Here is a 14079-nt window from a genome sequence, read left to right as displayed (position 1 = left end):
TTTGCTGTAGATGTCTAGTTCTGGAAGTAAAGCCTTCCTTTCCATGTGTCCTGTGTTTTTTCAAGTCCACCATAAATATAAAGATTTAACTTACTTTTAGAGCCAAAGTCTACAAGCTTCAAGCTCAACGTTTCAGTGTAATTAAAATTGGCTTCTGAATTCTAGAGAACGCTAAACTACAATTTGGCCCAATTCTTAGCAGACGGATTAATTATACTCAAGAGACTAATTACTTTTCCCATTTTGATGTTTTAAAATTGTAGTGTGGATTCTGTGCCTTGGAGTAATTAAGCAATTGTTTAGTTTTGAGGAATAACCCAAATGACTTACATCAAAGGACTATACACTGTGAAAAAATAGCTTTAAAGACAATAATACTAAAATACTAAAATCATTTCTTTTTTATATTAATCATAATATTTAATTAACTAAAACATAGAGACGTAACAATTATGACTAATTTTTAGTTTTAACACAAATGTTAGAGAAATGTCCAGTTTAAAAACTGATATTGATCTTAATGTAAATAAATCAGTTGAACAGTTTTATTTCAATTAAGTTCATTTGGACTGCTCAAAATACTCTCCCACATAAAGTAATGGGCAACCAAACTTAAATTTAAAATTAATTTATCTATCTATGTATATTTTTATGACTTATTTTTATGAAAAGGATATATAAAGATAATAAAATATGATATCTTTTGTTTGATTTTATCTTTTGAATCTTGCCTCATTCCTTTAAAATTGCACATGTGAATTTCTCACTTTGTATTCTTTTGAAAGTTGTATTATCTTGACAGGATGCTAAACCTGTATTTATATTCTAACTATAATAATAATGTAGTGACATTATTCAACAGCTTATCTTCAAAGGGCTCAAAGGCTGTAGATAACATGTTATCACACTCATCACAGCATTCTTATGAATTCTGAGGCTTTCTTTTCTTTTCTTTCTGTTTGAATTAAATAACTCCAGCATAGGGTGTTGAGATGAAAATCCTTCATTTTGGAAGCATTATGAAGAGCACGGTTAATTATTTTCTTAAAATCTAAAATGGAAAATTTGAATTTTTTAAAAGTTTATCAAAAGTTTCAAGATATTTAATTCACAAAGATATTCCAGTTAATCTAATTCAACTTCTGTCAGAAAGCAGAATAACCCTTCCCATTATTCCATACATAGTATCACTCTGTATCCTTAAGTTCTTCTATGTAATTAAATAATATCTTCTGGAATAAAGTAGTTCTACTTCCCTAAAATACCTTTTAAGAATTGAGCTGAAATTGGTCTAAATGTAAATTTCACTTTTAGCTGTCATCTTCCCCATACAACAATACACAATCTCTGTTACAGTAGGTAGTCAGGCAAGAGACACCCCCCACCACCAATTAGGAATGTCAGGTGACCATCAAGTGATAGTCAGGTGGTTGTTAACTGTCTCTCTCAAATAATAACTGGTTGCAGCCAGCACCAAGGAAAGGCATTGTCCCCACAGGTAGAAAATAACTGAAACAAGCCAGGCGCGGTGGCTCATGCCTGTAATCTTAGCACTGTGGAAGGCTGAGGCAGGCGGATCACCTGAGGTCAGGAGTTCAAGACCAGTTTGGCCAACGTGGTGAAACCCCGTCTCTACTAAAATACAAAAATTAGCTGGGCATGATGGTGGGTGCCTGTAATCCTAGCTACTAGGGAGGCTGAGACAGGAGAATCGCTTGAACCCCAGAGACAATGGTTGTGGTGAGCCCTGAGATCACGCCACCGCCCTCCATCCTGGGCAGCTGAGCGAGACTCCATCTCAAAAAAAAAAAAAAAAAAAAAAAGAAAAGAAAAGGCCTGAAACTAGTGATAAGCAGCTTCTGGATAAGATCTCAGGAGTTGAGTGGGTGTGCTCAAGCATGTGCATTAAAAGGCAAAATGGTGGAGTTTAACAGGTACATGATCTTCCAGGGGCATTCCACTGGTAAGGGAAGAATGCCTCAAGTGAGCATGCATACAACTCCACTAAACACACTAACACACTGTGCGTGCTCCCCTCCACATTTGCATCCCTCCACAAGGCCATTGCACATGTGGACAACCCACCCCAAGGGAAGAATCAGGGGAGAAGAGACACAAGATTCTGGAAGTACGCTGACATCCAAAACCCCAAGTCAAAAGGTCAAACCCCACATTTGTCCTCCAAGATGCCCACTTGGCCCTCTTCCAAGTGTACTTTCTTTTCATTCTAGCTCTAAAGCTTGTTCATAAACTTTCACTCCTGCTCTAAAACTTGCCTTGGTGTCTTATTCAGCCTTATGCTTCTCCATCCAATTCTTTCTTCAGAGGAGGCAAGAATTGAGGTTGCTGCAGATCTGTAAGGATTCACCACTGGTAACTCAGATATGTGGCACCACTAACATCTCTAGCCATAATCCCAGGATTGAAGTGTTTCAGTGAACAGATCCAGGGTTAATGACAGATATGAACTGTGGAGGGATTTACACTCTCCAGGCTTTTATAGACTACAAATAGCCAATATCTTTTGAGAATGGGGAAGGTTTTGAAAAAAGAATATTGCATTAAGATAATAAATTGGATTGGAAAGAGCTTGAATGTAAACAAAAGTTTTACATAATAACCTAGAGAAAAGACATAAATACCTGAACTAGTACAATAATAATAATGATTGAGCAAAGGGGAGGGGTTTGGAAATTTTCACAGTTAGTTTAGATCTGGTGACTCACTAGATGTGGGGCAGAGTAGTATCAAATTTTGAGCCTGATTGACATCAAGAATTATAATGATATCAATAGAATAACTCATTTACTCAATAGTTACCCCTCTAAGATAGCAAACAAAAGCATAATCAACCTTTGTGAGGAATTGCAGAGTTTAGTGCCACCCTTAAATACCTAAAAATACAGGAGTGTGGTCCCAATTATATCCCCATTTAGTTCACCAATGTTGTCCTTACAAAGACCAGAGAAATCGTGGTAGCTTCAGTGGTATCATCCTACCAATCCAATATATTCATGACCTCAAGAAAACAAAACCAGATGAGCAGAAATTGTCAAGTTGGTTGAAGGCCTTGGTAAGAAATATATTCTCTGTAGAATGACAGCTGAACCGTGAAGACTCGGTTAAGTATTTAAGGATCCAGTAGTCCTGGTATACCATTATATCTCTTCTAAAGTACAGGACAGATTTTTGCATCTTGCTGTACCACATGGTAAAGAAAATGCAATGCCTGACATGCTGCTAGGTCATGAAGACAACTTAATCCATACCCAGAAATACAGTTCCTGCTTATACAATAAGTGAAATGAAATGCCTTTCAATTCACCAGCTTCAGTGGTTCCCAGAGCAAGAAAGGCTTTGCATCAGGCTCAGGCTGTGGCTTATGTAACAGTACCACCACTTGATTCATATAAACATTATCATAAAGAATACCCTATAATATTAGCAGTATCTGAAGAAACATACAGGAGTAGTTTTATAGCAAGCCCTATGTAGACACTTCAGATTCTGAAGCAAGGCTGTGCAATTTTTAGTGGAAAATTAATATACCTTTTATAAAAGAGCACCTGATATGCTGCTGAGTCTCCGTTGAGAATTGGAATGCCTGACCATGGTTCTTGATATGACCATGAGGCCGTAATTGCCCATTCACATCTGGATTCAGTCAACTACAACAAGTCACAAAATTGAGAGGCCCAGCAGTAAACCATCGTAACATGGAAGTTGTTAATCTTGGTTCAGACACAACCATGGCTGGAAGAAATAAAAAAGTTGCATCCTCGTATGACCCAGATATCCACCTTTCAGTTTATGTCTAAGACCACATGGGATGCAGATCCCTTATGACCAGCTGACAGGCAAGGTGTGATGGTTAATCTTGAGTGTCAACTTTATTGGATTGAAGGATCCAAGATATTGTTCCTGGGTGTGTCTGTGAGGGTGTTGCCAAAGGAGATTAACATTTGAGTCAGTGGACTAGGAGCGGCAGCCCCACCCTTGATCTGAGTGGGCACCATCTACTCAGCTGCCAGTGTGGTTAGTATAAAAACAGGCAGATGAACATGGAAGGACTAGACAGGCTGTATCTTCTAGCCTCCATCTTTCTCCTGTTTTGGATACTTCCTGCCCTCAAACATCAGACTCCAAGTTCTTCAGATTTTGGACTCTTGGACCTATACCAGTGGTTTGCCAAGGGCTCCTGGGCCTTTGGCCACAAACTGAAGGCTGCACTGTCGGCTTCCCTACTTTTGAGGTTTTGGGGCTTGGACTGGCTTCCTCACTCCTCAACTTGCAGACAGCCTATTATGGGACTTCACCTTGTGATTGTGTGAGTCAATACTCCTTAATAAACTCTCTTTTATATATATTCTATTTGTACTGTCCCTTTAGAGAGAACCCTGACTAATACAGAAGGAAATTTTAAAAAGACTTTGGTTCACAGATGGTTCAGTTCATTATGTGTGTGCAATCTAAAACTGAAGTTGCACTTTGGTTCCACTCGGGGTAGTTCTGAAAGACAGAAGTAAGAGGAAATCCTCCTCAAAGGCACTACAAATGGTGAATTTGATTGTCAATTTTGGGCAGAAGAGTAGACAGCTGAGAGTATACTCATGGGTAAAAGCAACTGCTCTGGTTGTTTGGTCTAGGGGCATGGAAAGAAAAGATTGGAAAATCAGAGGCAAGGAGGTAAGGAGTAGAGGCACGTGGACTGGTCTGCTGGCAAGGCATGGCATGGACAACGTCTCATTGTCTACCAGGTAGTATTCATCTCAGAAGAGGCATTCAATAACACAGTAGACAGCATGATTCTCCTAGTGGCCCTAACCTAGCTTCTGCATCAGCCACCCCTGTGCTGATATAATGGGTGTCTGAATATGGTAGATATGGTGGAAGAGATGGGGCCTAGCCATGGGCCCAACAGGCCAGGCTCCCATTCACCATAGCTGATAATTATACTGACACTGTTAAATATTCACTTGCCAGCAAATAAGCCCAGCACATAATCACTGATGCAGCACCTCACTGGAAGAGATTTACCAGCCTTTTGCTGGCAAGTTTACTCCCTGGGGCCCCTTTTGCCATGAAAAGTGCAGCATTTTCTTTTGACTGGAACTGGCACAATTCTGAATACGGGTTTCCCTTTTCTACACATAGTTTCCCAGTTACCATCTTCTATGCAAGTGCTCAGTGTGCTTGTTCCACTAACTTAGGAGTCTCACATTGAATTACATTGATCAGGACAAGAAATCCAATGAACAGCTAAGGAGATGCAGAAATGGGCACATGATCTTGAGGTTCACTGGTCTAATTACATCCTGCATCTCAAAGAAGCTGACAGCCTATGAGAGTGATGGGATGGCCTATTGAATGCAAAGCTGAGACTCAGATTAGAGAATATACACTGCAAGCATGGATGGTTATCCTCCAGAATGAAGAGTACACTATCAATTACCATTCTAAAGTGGAGAGTCCTCAAATAATAAAATACAGGGTCTGGGAACCAGGGGGCAGAAGTATGAGCAGCTCTGATGACTGTTGCCTCTGTTGTCTTATTTGAGGAAATTGCTTACCTCACAACATCAAGCTCTAAGTATCAACATTCTTAATCCCCAGAAAGGGAAAACTTACATCAGGGGACACAAGAGAACCAGTGAACTTTCTGTCATGGCTGCCAACCAGGAACTTAATTAAGCGCTTTGTGTCAAGGGGCTGGCAAGCAAGTTAGGAAAGCCAGCATTCTGGCAGGGATAATTGACTCTGATCATCAGGAAGAATCAAGGCTGCTGTTAAAGTTGAGGGAAAAGAAGAATATGTGTGGTCCCCATGTGATCCATCGACCCATGTAGGTGACAATAAAAAGTCAACTGCAATAGACAGCCATAGAAGAGCAAGGCGAGTGGAAGCTCAAACCCCTCAGGTATATAGGAAGGCCACTTAGACCAACAGAATTACTAGCTAAGGGTGAGGAAAATAGAGAATGTACAGTAGAGGGAATTGATGATATTTAGTTATAGCCTTGAGAACAGCTGCTGTGGTGGGGGATTGTCCCATTAACTTTCCTTTTCTAAGTTTCCCCCAGGGAAAGAGGCCCATTGGAATCCAGGTGGAACTACTCCCAGAGCTTATGTAGAAAAGTAGAACTAAAAGGCACAATGAGTAAATAGTGGATGATACCACGTGTTATCCCATTTCTCCTCTTCAGAAATGAAGTACTTACGTCCCCGGTTGTGAATGCTATCTGCTGCCAGTCCTCAACTTCCCAGAACTGCACTCTCTCGGAATTGCCTCTACTTAAGAGAGCTACTTCCTATGAGTCCATGCGTCTTTTGTTGTTCCTAGGAACAGGCTTCTTCCAATGACTGTTCATTGGAGGAGTACAAAGGTCTAGCCTCTTGCTCCAACTTGGGGTAACTCTGATGGACCATTCCAGCTTCAGATCCACTCATGGGGAATTCACATGAGATTTTTGCTGTTTAAGCATGGCTGTCTAATGCCTCCCCTGACAAATCTGACTCATTTTCCCTTTTCCACACATGTTTAGCCAAAGAGCCCTTCTTTAAACATGCGACATTTTAGCTTCCACCTCAAAGTCTAATTCTCAGGGAAAATGACCTACAACATCAGATGTCTAATGATGTTGAACAACTTTTCATGTGCTTATTGCTAATATATTTTTTGTGAAGTGTCATCAAAGTCTTGTCTTTTTTTGAAAATGTCTTGTTTCTCTTTTTTAGTACGGTTTCATTGCAGTTTTTAAAAGATATTCTGGAAGCAATTCCTTTGTTATGTCCATACGTATTGTGAATAATTTCCTTTCTTAACTGTGAGTAGCTGTTTTAAGTTTTAATGTTCAATTTATCAGTTTTTTATTTTATGATTACTTTTTGTGTGTGTGTGTCCTCTCTAAAAAATCTTTGCCCACCTCAATGTGGCGAAGATTTTACCTTAACATTTTTTCATAAAAAATGTATAGTTTTTGTATGTTGAGCATTGGGGTTTGAGGTACATTGTTTTTTATTCATGTTGCGGCACCATTTGTTGAAATGGCATTCTTTTTAAAATTAAATTGTCACAGGACTTTGTTGAAAATCAATTGACTTTTCATGCATAAGTCTATTAATGAACTCTCTTCTGCTCCACTGAACTATTTGTCTCATCATATTTTCATACTACATTGTTTTGATTACTGTAGCTTTATGGCAAGTCAACTTCCATTGCTTTCTTCTTTAGTAAAGATTGTTTCAATGACTATGTCTTTTTAGCACTTTATATAACTTTTAGAATAGACATGTCAATTTTTAAAAGTTGAAATTTTGAATGAGATTGCATTAACCATATAGATCAGTTTGGGGAGAATTTATATCTTAATAGCATTGTCTTTCAGTCTATTATCATTTATATCTCTCTCTATTTAGGTTTTAATTTCTCCCATCAATGTTTTATAGTTTTAAGTTTAGAGTTTTCCACATCTTTTGTTAAACTTATATTTAATATTTTATTTTTATTATTATGGTACATTATTTTTTCAAAATCATTCTCCAATTGTTTGGTGCTAGAAAATAGAGCTATCCACGACTTTGTATATTGATATTTTACACTATGTCTTTGATAAATTCACCTTCAGATTTAGTCTTTTGGTTGTGTATTACCCAGATTTTCTATTCAAATTTTGTCATCTGCAAATAAAAAAAGTTTTACTTTTTTCTTTTTGATTTTCATGATGTTTATTCCTTTTGATTGCTTTACTACACTTCAGACTTTCTGTACAGTCTTGAAAGGGCATAATGAAATGGGACATTCTTGCCTTCTTCCTCAATTTATGTGGAAAATATGTAATCTTTTATCATTTAGTATCATCAGAACTTACATAAAGATTTGTAGATTTTTCTGAAGGAACCTTTTCAGAATGTCGCCTCCTACTTTTTGTTAGCTGATGGTTTGCATCATGATTGGGTGTTGAGTTTTTTCATTTTTTCTTTTTCTTTTCTTTTTTTTTTTTTACAAATGATCATGGAATTTGTTCTAATAATATGATGAATATGTATATATGTATATAATTTGTTATATAAAACTTACTACTGTAAGGAGCAATGAGTTCTAGGCTTAGGATACTCTCAAATTATTCTCCAAGGTAGACTGTTAAATGCTGTTCTGCTATAGGCAGCAAATTCGATGCACTCCAGCCCTTGCCCATTCTCATCCATTTTAGCCCTATTTCAACTCAAACTTTAGTTCACGCATCAGACAATATTTGCTATATTTTAAGTGCAACAATATTTCAAACAGTGATTGCACTTACCAACTTTTTTGAAGGGTTGGAGAAGGGGCTCTTCTCTGAATCTCCAGCACTGATTCGCAGGACACACCACAGAACTGGTCGACTGAGGAAGCTGCTACCACCACTACATTTAAGAAGCTAGGGAATCAGACAGCTGCTGTCCAACTGCTGCTTACCACATTGCACCACTTTAGCCTTGATCTTAGGATCAGAAGTCTGCTATGAATATTTCTTCCAGTTCTATATCAACAAAATGAATGGCTTGTATGCAATGTCCTCTTTTCCTGCCTACTCACTCTCAATACAAGTTTTGAACAAGTGCACTTCATTTGTGAAAATAAAGTGTTAGCTTTCCAGCATCTGTGGTATAGGAATGCACACCAAAATAGGAACAGATGCTGGAAAAGGTATCCTGTCATACTCATTAGAAGAATTTCCTCCAAAGCTTCAGCTGTCCCAACCAAATGAGAAAAAGGTGTGTTTGGTGGAAATGTGGAAAAAGAGCAGTATCTTGTCTTCTCTCAGTGGATAGCTTTTCACCAAGAATCGAGCTTTTGTGTTTTGTCTTTCTAAAGTTTTACTTGGAAGATTCTTTTTCTGCCAAGAACAAACCCTGGTATATATTTTATATTTAAATTAAGAGCCATTAACTTGAACTTTGTTTTTTTCTGGCCGAGAATGTATTTAGAGTATATATTTTAATATAATAATATAATTTAAATTATAATGTAATATAATTTAAAAGCCTATAATATGAACACAGAAATAAATAATATAATACAGAACACAGAAATAAATAATAACCCAGGTAACACAAACCTAGAATGCTGAGATCACAGTGCCTGTAGTAGGATGACTCACAATGCTTTATGTTTATCAATTTGCAACAAAACCTGTTTTTTTTTTGCTAAATAGTTCTGTCAAAATAGATAAATCCAAGCTTTATTAGACTTCGTCACTTTGGTTGATAGAAGAGTACATTCTTTTTTTTTTTCAAACAGAGACATGATTTAAGGAAGTAAGGCTTAAGAACTAATAGATTTAGTTTTTTATTGTGAGGACTTATTGCTCAAAAATAAACAACATATCCTCCAGAATATTGCATAATACCTTAAAAAATGAAGTATCGGAAATCATGTGGGATCAACAAAGGTAATTAACTTCAAGGATTTGAAATAACAGGGAAATAAAACTGCTAGATTTTATAAAGCAGGGACATATTAACTTACATAATAGACATCTCTATTTTGTGTTTTTGAGGATGAAATTGAGATTATGAAGCTCTTGAGGTAAGAACATTGGTCACAAATCGATGAAACTAATTGTAATCTGTTTTCAACCTCTTCAGAGTTGGGCCTTTTGCATCACATAATTGTGTTGAGCTCAAAAAGAGTAAAAGGAGTAGTTTTATTTTAATGTTTTATGATATAAACAGCATGTGCTTCAATAAAGCACTTAACGTTCTAAATATTCTTTAAAATATGTAAAAATATTTTCCAAGAGTTCTCATTTTTACAGATGAAAAATAGAATAAACAGAAACAGAGATATATAAGAAATATTTTGGGAAGAAGAAAATATGTATATCTTCATTCATTTGAATACTAGTATCCCCTTTACTAATATTAATTATCCACAGTAACAAAATAATGCCCCTAAAAACTAGGCTCGTTCTAGATGTATGAAATGAGACATTGTTAAACATATGATTCTTATTCTACTGGGTTAGTGAAGTTAGCAGATGCTCTTCTCACAAAACAAATATTACACTGCTTTACTTTGCTGCTGTTGCTGCTATTAAAAGCTATTTGGAAGAAAAGTTTTGTCTTTTCCCCACCAGTTGTTTTCTAAAGACCACTTTGTCACTATCATTGTTTCAATGAATATATTAGAAACTTTTATTGGCATCATGAGAAATGAAAAAAACATTGATGTGAGATTTATCTTATTTTAACAGGTATAAAGAAGAAAACTTTCACAAATACCTTAGCAGAGAGAATATTAAAGTGTTCTCTCTACCTTCTCTCATACTTACCCCACTGCATCACCAGAACAACCCATCACCTACAGTAAATGTAAAAAAGGGACAGACAGGGATGTTTTTATAGGGAGTCTAAAGGATATCCTTTTTAATAATCACAGTTTACCACCACCAACTATGTCACAGTTCTGGAACATTCAGGAGCTGATATGTGTTTCAAAGGCTTGAAGTTCTTTCTATTTTATATGTCAGAGGGGAAATCTAGATTTATATCAGTGAGCTAGAAAAATTTATCTACAGAGAAATGTAAAATGTTAAAGAGATGTAAGGAAGCGAATCTTTTGAAAGGAAGACAAATATTTATGTATATATCAGGCCATTTGATTTGTGCTATTTCTCCCTAAAGTAGGACTCTGATACAAACAATGTAGAAACAAGGAGGAAGGGACAAAATAAAAAAATAATTTATTTTATCTCTCAGGGTTTAATATTAGCCTTCTATGTAGTTCAACATTAGTATCATCAATACATTCAACTCCATGAACACTGTCTTTCTGTAGACCTCTTTTTCATTCCCATGATTCACTTAATGAACCTAGCAATAATGGTGATATTAACAACAAGTAGTCAAATGAGATGTAGCACCTGACTTTGGAGGGATGTGGGGTCAGATGATCAGCATTTGAGGTATCTTTGTTCACTTGCTTTTACCACCCTGACCACAGGCATCCTGTTTTCTCACTGAGGAGGAGGGCACTGCTCTGGTTGTATTACAGAGCAAAGTTTGGCCCACATTTTTAATGGATGGAATCACTATTTCATACAAGGACAAGGTTCATGGGTGTGGCTTTCTCTTCGTTTTCTCTCTTCTACAGGATGGAATAATAAGGGCCAGAGACTGCTCTTCCATGGAAAAATGTTGAGATGTCTCACAACCCCCAAACCCCATATAATCTACTTGGAATTAGTCAGTGGTGGTGATGTTGGCACCACAGTTCAACTTTTCATCTCTTGCTCTATATCTCCGGTTCTATCTCGTCGATGCTGGGCGAATGTTCAATTTTAAAAGACAGAGATATCTTTATGATCTGTTTGAGCTTGAAACTATTTAGGCCTAAAGTATTATAGGACAAAGTTACATAGTAAAGGAAAGCTCACTAATGTTTCATAGGTTGAGTTACAATTCTCAAGCCTGAGATCTTTTGGTGGAAATTGCAACCTCTGCAAAATAGTATGTTTGAAGACCATATGTGGGGTGATAATTGTAGTCTAAGGGACAAGATTCCGAAAATCCTGGATTTCCTAGCTGTAATGTTTAATAGCCTTACAATTTCACCCCTTATTTTACACACCTCAGAGTGTTATTTTAAACCCTTTGGTTTTTATTCCTACATAGAACTCTTAAAGAACCTTGGCTTCTGGGTCAGAGAGTAAGAGAGATAACAAAAGATTCAGAAGAAATAAAAAGTACCCTATAAAAGGATCAAAGGAGTAAAATACAGGTCTGAAGATGCATTGCAAAACAATTATTTAGGTGTTGTCAAATTATAAAATTATCTTTCAAATGTAAATATAGATCTGGTGCTATAATTAATATTGGCAAGTCTCCTTTAAGATGTCAAGCTTCAGCATTTAATTTCATAATGGACCTTTCAAATGATGATATTTACCTTATAAAACAAACTAAAAGGCATTTAGGATAAAGTTCAGAATGTGACTTACAAGGATGTCAATGAGAAATGCCTTTACACTGTTCCAAATATAGAAAATCACATGCATGTTTTGGTGAGAAATTTTGAATAACTTGGAGGATATATAAGTCCTGATACTCAGAAACAGTAGTTTTCATTGTGATTTAAATTTTTGAGACTTTCCCAGCTATTCCAAGAATTATTTAAAGCAAATATGATAATTATGCACAGCACAATATTGTTTTGGCCTGATTAAGCAGTGATAGTTTATACTGCCTAGATGTCATTAATAAGTTATTCCTCTTCTAAGTCCCCAAATCCAGCTACCCAAACATGTTACTTCTACCTCCAAATTGTCTTCTTTTCTTTTAGAGTTCCCATGCTAATGACATATTATGTTGATGCCACTGCAAAAGCCATTTTTGGTTGCTAACTCTAGTTCCATTATCATTCAGAATTATCTTAAATAAACACAATTTGAATTTTAGGATTTTTTTCTTTTGTAATTGAAGGCAAGCAAGCCAGAAACAGAAACAGGAGGAAGGAGTGCACTTAATCCATATTAGGAACTGCAGCTCAAAAAGATATGCTGCTGAATTGTTATTGAGGAGATAAGAAAAAGGAAGTAGAATTTAGGTGAATAGTATCCTTAATTAATATGGAAGAGTCTGGAACATAAGCTGTTTTAGGGGCAAGAGAGATGGAGATGGTGAATAAAATAGGACACAGAATTCAGAAATGGACATGCCTGCTCGACATTTGGAAGCTTATGTTAGAATGCAGGAAAGATGTTTTACAATTAATCAGTGGAAATCATTCCCTTGCAGTTGTCTCTTTGGCAAGGTGTTTGTGATAGTGCCAGTGTTAGAAGAGTCAAACAGAGATTCATCGAGAAAATAACTAGTTCGTTCGTTTCAGTTTTGTTTGTGGTGTGATGAGGTGATATCTGAGCCATGTTCTCTACCCTAATTTTTTTAAATGCATAATGTTACCATAACTCCTCACCTGTTTAAAGTTCTTCTCCATTCTTCACTTATTTTTGCCTAATATAGATGATGATTAAAAACCTAAGGTGTGAGTGTTTTTATGCCATTAGAAAGGTGAGAAATCCCATTTAACACTTCTGCTGTAGCCTTCTGATTACACCTAGAAAATTGCTGGATTGCTGCTATCTTACAAATTGATGAATGGGATCGGGTATACGAACAGCAGGATTATTATTTGTTCCCCTAACAAGTGAATGACATGTCGGCCTAAATGATATGCCAGCAACGTAAAGTAGTTAAAGCCTCTTCCCCAGAATATTGAACATTGCAGTGCTTATTCTGTCAGCTAAACTGAAGTTGTTTCAGGAGGTGGCTTCAAGGGTGAGTCCCAAGGACCTCTCCTAGTTATCCCACAAGCACTATTATTAAACAACTCAACAGAATATTCCCTTTGTTCTGTCATTCTTTAAATTAAAGCTAAATGGTAGTGGGACTTTATACAACCATATTGCATCCCTATCCACACTAAGAAGAGATTGCTTGCAAACAGCATAAACAACTCTCTGAATCCCTCTGAATTCTATGAAGTAATAAGATATCTATGATGGAACGCAAAGTAATTCCTGACAGAGAAAATCAGTGATCCTCTGTTGTGTATCCTGAGTTTAAAATCAACTGATTTTTCTAAGATTCCTGGTTAGGAAAGATGGGTTCATTACGAAAATTAAAGTTAAAAGGTAGCAGATCCTGTTAGGAGAGAAATGCCTACAAGACTCACCTTGTTTTAATGAAAATATTTTCTGTTTGACAGCTCAGGTTGAGAAGAAAATGATAATTGTATAAACAAAGAAGAAATAAGTGTGAGTGTACATTCACATCCATTTTCTAATGCTTATAGTACAGTCTTGTGGCTTTAAAATAATGAGCTTAATGGGCTTTGTCATCAAAGAAAACATTTTTTACTCAGCTTTCCCACTGCTATAAAATATAATTATTTTGTGATAAGGTATAAATATAACTTTGACCTATATTAGTGAAGGCTAAAAAAAAATCTAAGATCACCATAGAAGTATGTATTCAATTTCCCTACTTTCCACATGAATCTTTCTCCTTGAAATTTTTAGTGGACAGAGTAGAATATAAA

General features: G+C 36.4%; 1 long non-coding RNA gene across 1 annotated transcript in view; it reads left to right on the top strand.

The window, feature by feature from the left end:
• LOC105378031 (uncharacterized) overlaps positions 1-10731 on the top strand; it is a 181459-nt gene extending 170728 nt beyond the window's left edge. Inside the window, exon 4 of the long non-coding RNA XR_943079.3 lies at positions 9539-10731. This is a non-coding gene — a long non-coding RNA (uncharacterized LOC105378031). The remainder of the gene's footprint in view (positions 1-9538) is intronic.
• Positions 10732-14079: the final 3348 nt, after the last annotated feature.

This window comes from Homo sapiens, chromosome 6, assembly GCF_000001405.40.
Source record: "Homo sapiens chromosome 6, GRCh38.p14 Primary Assembly".
NCBI classification, from domain to species: Eukaryota; Metazoa; Chordata; class Mammalia; order Primates; family Hominidae; genus Homo; species Homo sapiens.
This window is presented reverse-complemented; position numbering and strand designations above follow the sequence as displayed.